General features: G+C 37.3%; 1 protein-coding gene across 1 annotated transcript in view, besides 1 other annotated feature; it reads left to right on the forward strand.

Moving 5' to 3' along the window:
* The window catches only part of PTPN4 (protein tyrosine phosphatase non-receptor type 4), a 224978-nt gene that overhangs the window by 15655 nt on the left and 192243 nt on the right, over positions 1 to 17080 (forward strand). The gene's annotated exons all lie outside the window — the stretch shown is intronic.
* Positions 6756 to 6975: an enhancer, noted in NCBI's record as "active region_16454". NCBI's record gives its function as "activates an Ori minimal core promoter by ATAC-STARR-seq in GM12878 lymphoblastoid cells {active_cell/tissue: GM12878}" and the evidence as "EXISTENCE:reporter gene assay evidence [ECO:0000049][PMID:35858748]".

Genomic DNA, 17080 nt, shown 5'->3' on the forward strand with positions numbered 1-17080 from the left:
CTATGGAAAGGATTGTCAGCATTATGGAAGAGAACCCTGATAGAACATCATGGAAGTCTGGAGGATTACAGTATTGAAGATGCCATTGTTGTTATAGAAAAAGCTGTGAAAGCCATCAGGCCTGAAACTGTAAATACCTGCTACGGAAGACTTTGTCCAGATGTTGTGCATGACTTCACAGGATTTACAACAGAGTCAGTCAGGGAACTCATAAAAGAGATTGTGGATATCTATATCTATATCTATATCTATATCTATATCTATATATCTATCTATATACTTTTTAAAGGTTGAGGATGAAGGGTTTCAGGTATACATCTTGAAGAAATTCAAGAGCTAATTAGACACCACACCAGAGGAATAAATGGAAAATAACTTGATGGAGATGAGTGCTTCCAAACCAGTACCAGATGATAAGCAAGAAGATGTGGAAGAAACAGTACCAGAAAATAAATTAACTATAGACAGTCTGGCAGAAGGGTTCCACTTATTCAAGACTGCCTTTAACTTCTTTTACAACATGGACCCTTCTAAAATACGGGCACTGAAACTAAAGCAAATGGTAGAAGAACGATTGGTACCATAATATAAAGATTTATTTATTTATTAATTTTTTTGAGACAGAGTCTCAGTCCGTTGCCCAGGCTGGAGTGCAGTGGTGCAATCTTGGCTCACTGCAAGCTACGCCTCCTGGGTTCACGCCATTCTCCTGCCTCAGCCTCCAGAGCAGCTGGGACTACAGGCGCCTGCCACCACGCCCGGCTAATTTTTTGTGTTTTTAGTAGAGACGGGTTTCACCAAGTTAGCCAGGATGGTCTCAATCTCCTGACCTTGTGATCCGCCCTCCTCGGCCTCCCAAAGTGCTGGGATTACAGGCGTAAGCCACCGCACCTGGCCCATAATGTAAACATTTTAAGTGAAAGTTTTAAAAAGCCCAACAGAAATTACTATGTATTTCTGTAAAGTTACGTGGAGTGTGCCTGCCTCTCCTGCTTCCCCTTCCACTTCCTCCACCTCTTCTATCTCTGCCACCCAGAAACAGCAACACCAATCTTTCCTCTTCCTCCTCCTCAGCCTACTTAATGTGAAGACAGTGAGGATGAAGACCTTTGTGATGATCCACTTGCACTTAATGAATAGTAAATATATTTTCTCTTCGTTAGGATTCTTAACATTTTCTTTAGCTTTATGGTAAGAATTCAGTATATATAATGCATGTAACATACAAAATATGTGTTAATTGACTTTGTTATTGGTAAGATTTCCGGTCAACAGTAGGCTGTTAGTAGTGAAGTTTTGGGAAAGTCAAGAGTTACATGGAGAAATTAGACAGTGCAGGGGTCAGTGCCCCTAAACCCTGCATTGTTCAAAGGTCAACTGTATTTATATGGTAAAGGAGATGATCTTGCTCTTTTGCTCAAAATCCTTTAACGGCTTCCATTCTTTCTTAGAGTAAAAGCTAAAGTTTTTACTGTGGCCAAAAAAGCCCTACATGGTCTGTGGACCTGGCTGTCTCTCTGACCTTATCTTTGACCACTCTTCTTTTTCATTTTTCTCAAGGCACACTGGCCTCCTTTTTGTTCCTGGCACTGGCAGACTTGTTCCTACTTCAGGTCTTCATGTTTGTTCTTCCTTCTGCCTTGAACACCCACCTTTCTCCCAAGTGTTCCAGGCAGATGGAGTATGCACATGGCTCACTCTTTTACTTTTTAAGTCTCTGCTCAAAAGCAAATTTCTCAGCCATGGCTTTCCTGAGCACCCTATTTAAAATTGCTTTCCTACTCCTACATGGCTGTTCTCCTTTGCTTACCACCTCACATTATACTATATATATTTTTTTCTTTCCTCATTATAATGGAAGCTCCATGAGGGCAAGGACCTTTATCTTGTTTTGTTTGTCGATATATTCATGTTGCTTCTTCCTGTCTGGCACAATGTGAGGTACTTAATAGATATGTTGAACATGGGAGGGGTTAGGGAAAAGTAGAGGAACATTTATCTAATTGCCTAACACATGGACACTTGATTCGAGCCTTTAGTTATAAATATTCTGCTAATTCTGGTGTAACTAGAGTATTTTATATATATTTATTTTAGAGATAGGGTCTTGCTCTGTCTCCTTAGCTAGAATGCAGTGGCATGCTCACAGCTCACTGCGGTCTCAACCTCCTAGCCTCAAGTGATCCTCCCACCTCAGCCTCCCTAGTAGCTGGGACCATAGGTGTGTTCCACCATGCCCAGCTAATTTTTTTTTTTCCCCTAAGAGATGAGGTCTTGGCATATTGCCCAGGCTGATCTTGGACTCCTGGGCTCAAAGGATGCTCTGGTCTCAGCCTCTCAAAGTGCTGGGATTATAGATGTGAGCTACTGTGACCACTGGAAACAGTTGCTTTCTGAAGGAAGTATAAAAACTCTATAGAGACCGGCATTCTTTTTTTTTTTTCCTCTAAAAAAATGCACTAAACCTCTAACTAATAAAATATTTTTTGCTAGGGAAGAGAGGAACAATAAAGCTTTAAATATAATACCACATACACTATAAGACTGCCTCTTTTTAGACAAAAATAAAAATATTCTCATTGACTGGTAGTACTTATGAAAGATTGGCTTTATTGTTGGAATCTCATAGGGAGGAGACCAAAGGACAGAAATTTAGAAAATGGAGAGGGAGAGAGGGAAAGAACTAGCTGGCTGCTTCTAATGTTTCTAGTACTTAGGTAATGAACTGTAGATAGGAGAAAGAGTAGTTCTTTGACTCACTAAATTAATTAATATACGTCTGTTTTAGTAAATAATTTCACTGAATTATTTAGTTTCCATCCCTAACTAGACTGAGCTTCTTGAGGGCAGAGATCTAGATGTGTGCATATGTGTATCTCTAGCATCTAGCACTGTGTCTAGCAACTAGGAGCTATTCACATACTTACGTGAATAAACAGGTATATTGAAGGCATAGGTTTAGAGAACTCTGTAGGGCCTTAGTGGGTCGGGAGTGTGTTTCTTTCTTGCACGCACAGTACTTTAAATGCTGAAATGTATAAATAGGATATAGTGAGTTGTAAAAGATTAAAATAAGTTAAATAAAAAAGGAAAAGCCTTAGGTAAATCAGTTTGATGCAAGAAATGGCACAAATTAGATTCCTGTATTTAATATATAGTTAATATAAAATCTATTTTGACATTGTAATTCTTTATTCTTATCAGGTCGGTAACAATTGAGTAGAGGACATACAAAGGACATTTTGAAAATGCTGTCTGTACATCAGTGAATCCCAGTGTAGGTCCAGTGTTACGCATTCCTGTTTCAGATGATTGATTTTGCACATGATTACCAGGAATACTTTGTTGTCGTATACCATTTCTTAAATAAGAAGCTTCTTATTTAAGTTGTTGCATAATGACTTCTATATAAATGTGTTTGGTATGTGTAAGTACAGAGAGAGAAATTTTAGAGCAAAACCTGTTGCTACATTTGAATTTTTTTTCCTTCTACAGGGTATCAGTTTTATAGTTCATAGTTTTGGTAGCACTATCCTAAGGGAATCTGGCCCATTCTGTTGCCAAGTTCAGTTCACATGGCTTGAGGGAACCTTCTTTGTATACAGCGTTATAACAATAAGCTAAGTTAGTCCATTATCTTATACTACCAGCATTTGAATTTATAATTACATACAAAACATTGTGTAATAAACTAAGTTGGTAGCAAAGCAGATGGTCCAGTTGGGAATATTCCATTTCAAATAAGTGTAAAGAATTGTCGGCTGGGCGCGGTGGCTCACGCCTGTAATCCCAGCACTTTGGGAGCCCGAGGCAGGCGTATCACGAGGTTAGGAGATTGAGACTGTCCTGGCTAACACGGTGAAACCCCATCTCTACTAAAAATACAAAAAATTAGCCGGGCATAGTTGCAGGCACCTGTAGTCCCAGCTACTCGGGAGGCTGGGGTAGGAGAATGGTGTGAACCCGGGAGGCGGAGCTTGCAGTGAGCCGAGATTGTGCCACTGCACTCCAGCCTGGGCAACAGAGCGAGACTCCGTCTCAAAAAAAAAAAAAAAAAAGATCAGCTATCGAGGATACTTTTTCGGTGGGTAATTGATTGATGATTTTTGATAACTGTGGTTTTATTGTGTATGCATTTGTTAAGTATAAAAGCAGAATTTGAAATAATTCTTTTATTTTTTGTTTTTGAGACACGGTCTCTCTTTGTCTCCCAGGAGAAGGGCAGTGGTGTGATCTTGGCTTGCTGCAGCCTCGATTTCCCAGGCTCAAGTGATCCTCCCACCTCAGCCTTCTGGGTAGTTGGGACCACAGTCACTCACCACCACTCCTAGCTAATTTTTTGTATTTTTTGTAGAGACAGGACTTCGCCATGTTGCCTAGGCTGGTTTCAAACTCCTGGACTCAAGAACTCTGCCCTCCTTGGCCTCTTAAAGTGCTGGGATTACAGGCATGAGCCACCACACCTGGCTGAAATAATTTTTTTTTTAACTCTTTCCTCACAACTTTTTATTTTGAATAATATCATGCCTATGGAAAAGTAGTAAGAATGGTATATTGAACATCTGTATAATCTTGCATAGATTCATTAATTGATACTTTGCTTTCTTGCTCTCTCTTTATATGTACTTTGAAAATTTCTGAACTATTTGAGGATTGCAGATATCATGATCATAACACTTAACCTAAATGTTTCAGCATGTAATCATGCATCTTTTGGTAATAAACACATTCTTCTATGTAGCATGATCACACTCAGGAAATTTAGCATTGACACAATAATATTACCTAAAACTCAGTCTGTATTCCAGATTTCTCCAATTGTTCAAGCAAGTCCCTTATACTTTCTACCCTAACCCCCCGCCAAATCCATGATTGGATCAAGAGCTACACATTGCAGTAGGTTGTTTTATCTTTTTAAATCTACAACGCTCCCCCATCCTTTTACATCTACTCCTCACATTTTCGAAGAATCCAGGCAAATTGTTTTTTAGAATGTTCCTCAATTTGGATTTGTCTCATTGTTTTAGTTTTATTTCATCACTAGATTCAAGTTAAACATTTTTGGCAAGAACACTATATAAGGTGTTATGTTCTCAGTATATGACATCAGGGTGTCTATGATACCAGTTTTGGTGATGTTAAATTTGATTATTTGGTTAAGGTGGGATATGACAGATTTCTCCATTGTAAAGATATCGTTTCCCCTTTGTAATTAATAAGTAATTTATGGGGTGATACTTTTGGATTATGTATCTTGTTACCCAACAACTCTCACCCAGTGATTTTAGCATTTGTTAAGTCTTGCCTGAATCAGTTATAGTAACTGTAAAATGGCATTTTTCTATTTCTGTTCTTCCTTCTATATTTATCATTAGATATTATTTTTAAAAAGTTATTCCTCTCCCTCACTTAAAAACATTAGCATCACTCTGGACTTATGGATTTTTATTCAGAGTATTATAATCTATTATTTATTTTGGAACTTAAGTTGTTTCATATTTCCTGATAGGAGTTTCTTTAAACTGCCTCTCTTTTTCTTTGACTAGTCCTCAGTTAGATTTTGAGGGCTTACTTCCTTACTTACCAGTACAAGACATTTAGCCTCACCTTGTATTTTCCTTGCCCCAGCTCTGAAATCAGCCTTTTTTCTCCAGAGTCCTAATTTCTTTTAGTGAGGAATAGTATATAGTAGGTTAAGTATATTCAGTGTTATTGGAGTATTTTGACTTCTAGGTTCTAGTGGATAATTTTTTAAAAATGAGATTAACCAATGCCTCTAATTCTCATCCAGTACTGCAACCATCTCTGATGCCATATCTGACCTCTTGTGTCCTGTAGCCAGACTCCTGGTTCTCAACAATATTAATATTTATTCATTTGTTCAATCCTATAATAGACACAAAATAGTTTCAGAATGTTGCATCAAGACCACTGTCAACAACAAACTTTATAAAGTTCGGAGTTTTTTATATTTCTTTTGATTTATCTTCAGTGTATTCTGCTGTGGTTAGCAAACTGTGGCCTGTGGGTCAAATCTGACCACCACCTTTTCAGTATGGCCTGTGAACTAAGAATGCTTTTTAAGTTTTTAAGTTCTTTTAAAAAATAAAAAATATTTCATGACCCATGAAAATTACATGAAATTCAGACTTCAATATCTGAATTTAGAATACAGCCATACTCATTCGTTTACATATTGTTTATGGCTGCTTTCATGCTACATAGGTAGAATTAAGTAGTTATACCAGAGATCTTAATGGCCTGTAAAGCCTGAAATATTTTCTGCCTGGCTCCTTACTGAAAATGTTTGTCAATTTTAATACTATTATATTTAACAATTACTGGAATGCTTTTTTTCCTGCGTGATTGTGTTATATATTATTAGATTCATTTATTTACTCAATTTTAGGGAGAAAGGAATTTTTTTTAAATGTTGGAAATTGGCAGTGATCGAATTTTAGAATTAGAAGGATATTTAGTGTTCCTGTAGTCCCACACTGTCCAGTAGGATAACCACTAGCCAAATGTAGCCATTTAAATTAAATATAAAAAATTCTTGGCTGGGCGCGGTGGCTCACGCCTGTAATCCTAGCACTTTGGGAGGCCAAAGCGGGCAGATCACTTGAGGTCAGGAGTTCAAAACCAGCCTGGCCAACATGGTGAAACCCCGTCTCTACTAAAAATACAAAAAAATTAGCCGGGTGTGGAGACAGGCGCCTGTAATCCCAGATACTCAGGAGGCTGAGGCAGGAGAATTGCTTGAACCTGGGAGGCAGAGGTTGCAACGAGCCGAGGTCATGCCACTGCACTCTAGCCTGGGCGACAGAGCGAGACTCCGTCTAAAAAACGAAAAGAAAAAAAAATTCTTAAGTTATATGAGTCACATTTCAAATGTTTAGTCATCCTATGTGGCATGGTTCCTATATAGGACAGTACAGATTATAGATCACAAAAAGTTCTATCATTTTACAGATGAGGAAGTTGAGGTTCAGAAAAATGAAGTGACTGCTCCAAGGTAATAGATAGACAGTAACAGATTTAGAGTGAATCAGTGGCTTACTAGATATTACAGTTGTTGTGACATTTGTAATAGAAAAGAAAGACCCCTGTGTTAGGCTATGAAACCCCCCCACCCCCCTTTTTTTTTTTGAGACGACCTCACTCTGTCATCCAGGCTGGAGATCAGTGGTATGATGATGGCTCACTACAGCCTCAACCCCCCAGGCTCAAGCTATCCTCTCACCTCAGCCTACTGAGTAGCTGAGACCACAGGCATGTACCACTACTCCCGGCTAATTAAAAAAAAAAATGTGTAGAGACAGGATCTCCCTATGTTCCCCAGGCTGGTCTTCAACTCCTGGGCTCAAGGGATCCTCCTGCCTTGGTATTACAGGTGTGAGCCACCACGCCTGGCTGAAATCCCTTTTTTTTTTTTTACTAAATTCCAGATGAGTGCATCATAGTAACATCGAAATATTTGTATTTTGAGAGCTTAATGATTGGTTGAAATGGGTGCCCTGTTTTTGCTGCTTTGCACTCATTTGCATTCATTCATTTGAGTTCAGTTTTCACTCATTCGTATTCATTCATTTTTGCAGTAAGGACGTTTTTCCATTTGTACATTGATTTAGGAACATAGGAAGCTATCGGGAAAGGTTAGAAAAACTGGGGTATGCTAAGTAAAACAACAACAAAACTATTGATTCTCTGTCCAGCTGTAATCCTTTTCCTGTTAATGTCACCAACATACATGAGCAGGGTTATTCTCTCATTTGTGAGCCCTTACTGTAACAAAGGTCTCAGTATATGTGATTGTGACTTCTTTTCCCCTTGATTTTCTGGGGCAAGTGTTGAGGTGGAGATTGCGGAAATAATATATTGAGTGCAGTGAATCAGATTGAAGATTAGCAAACCTTACAAATAGTAATGTGTCTTTTTCAGTGATACCTTCAATTAGTTTAGGTGCTTCTGTGGTTGACTTTGAAAATAACAATCAGAATAATTTCAGCATGAAGAAATAGAAATCATTATGATATGGTGGAAATCTTTGAGATTAGACAGATCTGGATTCAAGTACTACTCTATTACTTTTGCCTGCGTAACCGTAGGCAAGCCACTTAATCCTTCTGAGGGGATTAACAAAAGGAACTGTCATTGTTTTAAGAATAAGTGACAGAATGTGAGATGTTTAAGTTATTGTTGCTGCATAACCATGCCAACATTTAGTAGCATAAGTTAATCACCATTTTATTATTTACAGGATCTCTCAGTGAGGAATTCAAACAGGGTACAGGAGTGAGAGCTCTTTTCTGTTCCACAGTGTCTGCTTGCTCATTGGCAATGGCTGGGGGTTGGAACACTTGGAGGTGGGGGATCCACTTCGCAGATTGCTTATTCATATGTCTAATGACTGAAGGATGGGCTCAGCTGGGACTGTTGAGCAGAGCACTTATGTATGGTTTCTCTATATGGCTTGGGCTTCTTAACAGCATGTTAGAAGCTGGGTTCTGAAGGGAAGCATCCTGAGAGTGAGTGTTCCAAGGGAGCTAGATAGAAGCTAAAGGGCTTTTCTGATGTAGTCTTAGAAGTCATATAGCATCACATCTACTGTACTCTGTTGGTCAAAGCAATTACAAGTCTCAAGCTTCTTCCCCCACCCCTCCTTCCCCAGAATCAAGAGAGGTGATGTAGACTCCCTTTTTTTTTTTTTTTTTTTGAGACAGAATCTCCTGGGCTCAATCAGTCTTCCTGCCTTAACCTACCACCAAGTAGCTGGGGCTACAGGTGCACACCACCATGCCCACCTAATTTTTTTTTTTTTTTTTTTTGAGACAGAGTCTTGCTCTGTCGCCCAGGCTGGAGTGAAGTGGCGCAATCTTGGCTCACTGCAAGCTCCGCCTCCCGGGTTCACGCCATTCTCCTGCCTCAGCCTCCCGAGTAGCTGGGACTACAGGCGCCTGCCACCATGCCCGGCTAATTTTTTGTATTTTTTAGTAGAGACAGGGTTTCGCTGTGTTAGCCAGGATGGTCTCGATCTCCTGACCTTGTGATCTGCCCGCCTTGGCCTCCCAAAGTGCTGGGATTACAGGCATGAGCTACTGCGCCCAGCTGCCCAGCTAATTTTTTTTTTTTTTTTTTTTTTGTAGAGATGGGGTTTTGCTGTATTGCCCAGGGTGGTCTCGAACTCCTGAGCTCAAGCAGTCTGCCCGCCTCAGCCTACCAAAGTGCTAAGATTATAGGCGTGAGCCACCATGCCTGGTCAGTCTTCTAACTCTTGAAGGGAGGAGTGTCTGGCATTAAAAGCAGCATAAGTCAAAGTTTCTAGTTTTATCAGTCTGGGTTCCTCATCCTTTCCATTTTTCTTCTATTCATTTTATGATACTGAGGAGGAAAAGAAACACCTCTAAACTTCCTCTTATACTGTTTGTTAACAGTAGATTAGAGTTTCTCAACTTTAGCACTATTGACATTTTGGACCAGATCATTATTTGTATGATTGTCCTGTGCAATCCGTGATGTCTAATGGCGTCCCTGGCGTCTCTGCACTGGAGCCAGTAGCACTTTACCCTTCAATTGTGAGAACCAAAAAATGTCTGCATACATTGCCAAGTGTTCCGTGGAGGACAAACTTGCCCCTGTTTGAGAACCACTGCTCTACATTCGTGTTTCTCAAAGATATTGATATGGACCAGCCACATTGATATCACTTGCGGGACTTACTGAAGTGTTATTTTTTCAGAATCTGGAATTGGGTCCCAAAAATCTGTATTTTTTAAAAACTCCTCAAGTGATTCTGATGCACACTTAAGTGAGAGAAATGCTGATATAGGTTATCCTTAAAAGCTGAATGACTAAGAGGTATATAAATGCTTTACTCACTGGTAATATACTGGTTTCAGGTCAGATTAATGGCATAGTAGAGTTGTTAAATATACTGTTATATATTATATATTATTTTGGGTTCCATTTCCATAGATTATTAGTGTAAATAGTATATCCATTCCTGTTTCATGAAATTTTTGTTTTTTAATTATTTTTCTCAGCTTTATTGTGAAAACTTTCAAACACAGAAAAATTAAAAGAATGATGCATATAATGAACACTTACATACTTTACCACTGAGAATCAAGAGCTGTTAAAATTTTGCCGTGTTTGCTTTGTGTGTGTGTGTCTACGTGTGTGAGAGAATGAGTGCACACGTGTGAGCAATCAGAGCTTTCCTGGTGTATATGAGAGAGAGACAGGGAGAGAGCAATCAGAAGTTTTCATGGTATGTATGAAATCCAAGTAAAGGAGAGAGAGGTGTAGGATTCTGCAGTATAAGTGCTCCCATGTGGATAGACTGATCCATTCATCTTCACGGTATTTAATCAGGATACCTTTACTCTCAAGCAGAGTTGATTTAGTGTAATGGATTGCAAAGTTTTAAAAATGCGTGCTTGGTTGAACACCTTTCTTTCCTTACTATTTAGTGGTTTTAATGCCACTCCAGTCAAATTACACTTCTCCTCCTTTCATATAGCCTAGGACAGTGCTACTCAACAGATTGTCTATGGACTGGGTACCAGTCCCTGGCCTATGAGGAAATAAATACAGTAAATGAGAGTGAGTATTTAGTATTAGTATTTTATAACAGTTGAGAGATACTTCACCTTCTGCTTAATAATGAAAAATTATGACTCGTATTTTTTGTGTCTTAAAAAATTTTATTTTCTAGTCACTTTTATTGTATTTGCAAACATACTGTATTGGTCTGTGTTCTAGTTACCTACTGCTGTGTAACCATCCCAGAATGTAATGATTTAAAACAATAACAGTAATTAATTTTGTTCATGAGTCTGTAATTTGGGCAGGACTTGGCAAGGAAGACTTTTCTCTTTTCATTGCAGTCAGCTGTAGTGGCTCAACTGAAGTTGCTCCACTCACATATCTGGCAGATTGGTGCTGGCTCTGAGCAGAGATTCTGTCAGTGCTGAGGGCTGAGGATCTCAGTTCCTTTCTACATGTGACCTGGGCTTCCTTGGAGGTGGGTGACTGGATTCTGGGGATAAGTATCCCCAGACAAACCCAGTAAAAATTGTATCTCCTTTTGTGACCAAGCCTCAGAAGTCACTGCGTCATTTCTGCTATCCTCTTATTCACTGAGGCAGCTACTAAGGTCTACCCACATTAATGGTGGAAGGGACATAGACTCCACCTCTTGGTGTAGTGGCAAAATTGTAGAAAATTGTTGCTGTCATTTTTGTTAAAATACAATCTGCCATAGCCTGTGATAGATTAAAAATGGAAGAAACTGGCCCTTCCCCACAGATACAACCTGAGAGGCACCACTGACCTGGTCCTACCTGGCTTTAGGTTGGGCACTTACTATAATACAGTTCTAATTTAACTACTATACATTTGGAAGACACCTTATTATACCTTTATGCAGTAGACGTAATATGGGACAATGGTGGGAGAGATAACAAAAGGCTAATAGGAAACTCGTGAATGGGTGTGTAGGTGTGTGTGGGTGCACACGTGTGCATGTGTGTGCATGGTGGTTCTGTTTTTGGCTTACAGGTTTTAGCATTTACAAATCTTCTCCTGGGCTGGTGGCTAGTTTTCTCAAAGGGATTACCAGTATCCTGCCTGGGCAATAAACCTGGCTGCTAGTGTTCCAGAAACCCAGTTGGGGAAGGACATTGAGGGAAACAGAGGCCAAAGTGATACTGATGTTTCTATATAATACATACTTTTTGAATACTGCTGAGTACAGAGCTCAGTACTAGGTGCTAAGAGAAATACAAAGGTAAAGCTCCTTTTATTTGACACTTTAATGTTTAAGTAGTATTCTTATTAATATTCAAGATCTATACATTATGATTACTACTAATAGTGATACTGCTATTAGAAGTAGTATTGTCTAACACTTTATGTATGTAATACTTCAAAGATTCCAAACTGGTTTTCAGATATTTTCTACTGCCTTAGCTAATAGATTAGCTCTAGTAAGTCGTCAGTACTTACTGTAGTACCTGGAACAGAGTGGATGCTTAATACATATTTTATTAAATAAATAAATGAATCTTTAAGGTATGGTAGAATGATTGCAGCCTCTGGTGTCTGGCTCATTAGGTCTTGTACTTTCTAGCAGTGTGGCAATGAGGGGATTGTGGAACCTATGTAGTTCTATTTCTTCATCTATAGAAATAAAGTTAATCTCTCTTTACACACTATATATAAAAATTGGTTGAAAGCATCAGGTATGAGTCCCTAAGTTGGTGTGTATGTTTTCCACTTCTAGTTTTAAAGCCCAGTATGTGTGGTGAGTAGAAGAAATTGCTGGTATTAAAGACTAGTATTAGACATTTTAGGCACTGAAGTTTAAAAATAGAATGTTGCCCCTAGGAGTAGGGCAGTGCATTATTAAATTAAGTGTTGAAATCTTTATGCCTCTTCATGCAACATAAACTTTTATTTGGAATAAATATGACATATTAAACAAAATTAAAGTTTATTTTGGTTTATTTAAAAATTTACCCTTGTTACAGTAGTTTTATTGATGTGTTCGTAAGAAAACTTAGGGTTTTCTTTTTCTCCCCAGATTAACTTGTTGTTTGCAAATTTTGACAGGGCTTTTGAAAATAGGTAATGTATTTTTAAAAAGATGATGGAGGAAGAAATCCAATTGAGTGTATTTATTTAGAATAAGAGAGATCACAAATTAAGAGATGCTAATACCACAAATTTCACAAAATTCAAAAATAAAATAATTTCACTAATTAACTGCCTGACACACCTCTAAACATTTGATTACAGAAACTTAGATCACTTCATAAAATGTTATGTTTTAAAAAATTGTTTTTAATCGAGGTAAAATATGAATAGCATAAAATTTACTAAAATTTACCATCTTAACCATTTTTAAGTGTACAGTTCAGTAGTAGTAGGTACATTCACATTCCTGTGGAGCCATCACCACCATCCATCTTCAGAATGCTTTTCATCTTTAAAGTATGAAATTCTGTACCCAATAAACATCTCTCCATTCCCCATTCTACTTTTTGTCTGTGATTTTGAACGTACTAGGTTCCTCATATAATGGAATTATATATAATATTTGTCATTTTGTTGACTGGCGTATTTGACTTAGCATAATGTCTCAAGGTTCATCTGCATTGTAGCATGTGTCAGAATTGCCTACCTATTTAAAGGCTCAATAACACTTCATTGTGTGGATATACCATATTTTGCTTATCTCCTCAATGGACACTTGGTTTGTTTTCATCTTTTGGTTATTGTGAATAATGCTGTTGTGAACGTGTGTACAAATATCTCTTTGGGACCCAGCTTTCAGTTATTTTGGGTATATAAGCAGAAGTGAAATTGCTGAATCATAGGATAATTCTATTTTTCATTTTTTGAGGAACAACTCTACTGTTTTCCACAGTGGGTGCACCATTTACACTCCCACCAACAGTGTACTTCCAGTTTCTCCTTATCCTTGCCAACACTTGTTATTTTTCTTTTTTCTTTTTTTTTTTTTAAAGTAGTAACCATCTAAATAAGTGTGAGGTGGGTATTTCATTGTGGTTTTAATATGCGTTTTCCTAATGATTAGTGATATTGAGCATCTTTTCATGTGTATATTGGCCACTTGTATATCTTCTTTGGAGAAATGCCTATTGACGTTCTTTGTCCTTTTTAAATTGGATTGTTTGGTTTTTGGTTGAGTTATAGAAGTTATTTATATATTCCAGACATTAGGTTCATCTGATACATGATTGGCAAATATTTCCTTCTCTATTGTGTTTTTAAAAATCGCTTTCTTGATGGTGTCCTTTGACAGACAAATAGTTTTAATTTTGATGAAGTCCAATTTATCTGTTTTTTTCTTTTGTTGCCCGTGCTATTGGTGTCATATAAAGAAATTATTGCCAAATCCAGTGCCATGAAGCTCTATTCCTATATTTTCTTCTAAGAGTTGTGTATGCAGGGGTTTATTTCTACATCCCATCTATTTTGATGTGTTGTTATTTTTGTTTTCATTTATCCATCTCAGAGGATTTTCTGATTTCTCTTGTGTTTTACTTTGACCATTACTTATGAATGCGTTATTTTTCACTTTCTTGTAAATTTTCCTAATTTCCTGTTAATAATTGATAATTTCTTCTTTATTATTTTTTGAGACAGAATCTCACTCACTCAGGCTGGAGTGCAGTGGTGTGATCTCGGCTCAGTGCAACCTCTGCCTCCCAGGTTCAAGTGATTCTCCTGCCTCAGCCTCCTGAGTAGCTGGGATTACAGGTGCATACCACCATGCTCAGCTAATTTTTTTTTTGTATTTTTAGTAGAGACTCGGTTTCATTATGTTGGCCAGGCTAGTCTTGAACTCCTGACCTCAAGTGATCCTCCTGCCTCGGCCTTTCAAAGTGCTGGGATTACAGGTGTGAGCCACTGCACCTGGCCACCTGTTACTCATTTCTAATTTTATTCCATTGTGGTTGAATAACATACTTTGCATGATTTCAGTCCTTTTAAATTTACTGATGATTTTTTATGGCCCTAATATATATTATTCTACTTTGGAGAATGTACCATGTGCACTTGAATAGATTCTATATATTTTTTTTGTTGGTCATAGTGTTCTATAAATGTCTGTTAGATCTAGTTGGTTTATAATGTTGTTCAAATGTTCTGTTTATTTTTCTGCATATTTTATTCATTATTGAGAATGAAGTATTGAAGTCTCCTACTATTGTCAAATTGTCTATTTCTCCCTTCAATTCTGTCAGTTCTTGCTAGATGTATTTTGGGACGTTGTTTTTAGCTGCATATATGTTTATAATTGTCTGCCCTTTTGTTCTTATACAATAAGAGTAAAACTTATTATCTAGTAGCACTTTTGGATAAATATCTCATTTTGACTGAAATTAGTATTAGTATAGGTATGGTAGCTCTGTTGTTACTTTTTTGGGGTATATATTTATATATATTTTTATATTGTTTATGTTTTAGAATCTGAAATATGGCTTTTGTAGAGAGCATATAATTGGAGCAGGGTTTTAAAAATCCATTCTGCTCATCTCTGCCTTTTGATTTGAGTATTTAGTCCATTTACACTTAATGAAATTACTGACAAACCAGCACCATTTTGCAAATGTTTTATATGTCTTTGGTCCCTTTTGTTTCTCTATTCATCTATTATTGTTTGTTTGTTGTTGTATGTTGATATTTTTAAATTTGTCATTTTATTTCTATTGTTTATTTCACTGTATCTTTTCAAGAAAATTTTTTCTTTGTGATTGCCCAGGGTATTTACTTATAACTATCTCATGGGGGGAACTGCAACTTAATTCAGTAGTATTCAGAAATTTTGCTCCTATATAGCACATCCTCCTTTCCCCTTCCTTTGTATTACTGTCACACAAATTGCATCTTTATACATTGTAAGCCCATCAACGTTGTATTGCTTTACGCAGTTATATTTTAAATCAGATAGGAGGAAAAAAGAGTTACAAACACAAAATGTATTTCTACCGTTGTTTACATTTAGCTATCTAATTACTCTTTTTTTTTTTTTTTTTTTGAGACAGAGTCTTGCTGTGTCGTCTGGGTTGGAGTGCAGTGGCACAATCTCAGCTCATTGCAACTTCTGCCTCCTGGGTTCAAGCGATTCTCCTGCCTCAGCCTCCCGAGTAGCTGGGACTACAGGCATGTGCCACTATGCCCAGCTACTTTTTGTATTTTTAGTAGAGATGGGGTTTCACCATGTTGGTTGGCCAGGATGGTCTCAATCTCTTGACCTTGTGATCTACCCACCTTGGCCTCCCAAAGTGCTGGGATTACAGGCCTAAGCCACCTAGCTTAGGCTATCTAATTACTCTTAACTGGTACTTTTTATTATAGGACAGATTGCTAGTGACAAATTCTTTTAGGTTTTGTTTCTCTGGGAATATTTAAAATTATTCCTCATTTTCTAAAGCTTTGTTTTGCTACATATGGTATTCTTTTTGATAGCCATTTCCTATTAATACTTTGAATGTATCATCCTACTACCTTCTAACCTTCATGTTTCTGGACTAGATATTGCCTTGTACTGTAATTGAGGATCATTTGTAAGTGATGAGTTACTTTCTTTTTGCGCTGGAGATTTTCTTTCTCTTTGATTTTTGACCACTTGACTATGGTATGTTTAGGTATAAATCTCTTTGAGTTTATCCTAATTGGAGGTCATTAAGTTTCTTGGATGTGTAGATTAATTTTTCTAAGTCAAATTTGAGGAGGTAGGTGCCATTATTTCTTCAAGTATTCTGTCAGCCCCCTTTTCTGTCTACTATCTTTCTCGGACTTTTATTGTGACTGTATTGGTATGCTTGTTAGTGTCTTTGAGGTCTCAGGCTCTGTTCGTGTTTTTTTGTTTTGTTTTGTTTTGTTTTCAGTCTATTCTTTCTGTTCTTGAGACTGGATATTCTCAGTTAACTTGTTTTCAAGTTGACTGATTCTTCTGTCTGTTCGAATCTGCTGTTGCGCTCTTCTATTAACAGTGGTAGAAAGTTCGATTTATGATTATGGAAATTGAGATGTCATTTTTAAACTGTCCTTTTATTTCAAAAGGATTTTTAAATTGAAAACATTATAAAGTGCTTTCTTTTATATTTGAGCTAGAATGTATAGAACCACTTATATAAATTATTTTTTAGGGTAAATTGATCACTTAAAGATTAGTCATTTTGTGTTTTAGCTTAGTGCAGTACCTATATTTCCTGGTACCTACAATAGCCCTTTGAGTTGGGTGCTATTATTATTTGTCCATTTCAGTGAAGCAAGTGAGGCAGAGAGAGGCTAACTAGAATAAACACACAACTGGTTATCACTGTTCTTTTCTTATTAACAGGTTTTATGGCTATAATCTATAGAACAATGCATAGCTGAATTGTTACAACGTCTGAGGTTAAAAGCCAATATTAAAATTTTTAATTTGCACTTATATTTACCATCACTGAAAGAAATAAGCTACATTTTATTAACATAATGAAGAAAAATTACCAAAGTATGAATTTTGCCAAGTTAAACTAATCTTGATGATAACCAGGAG

The sequence above is a fragment of the Homo sapiens genome, chromosome 2 (genome assembly GCF_000001405.40).
Source record: "Homo sapiens chromosome 2, GRCh38.p14 Primary Assembly".
In the NCBI taxonomy this organism is placed as follows: domain Eukaryota; kingdom Metazoa; phylum Chordata; class Mammalia; order Primates; family Hominidae; genus Homo; species Homo sapiens.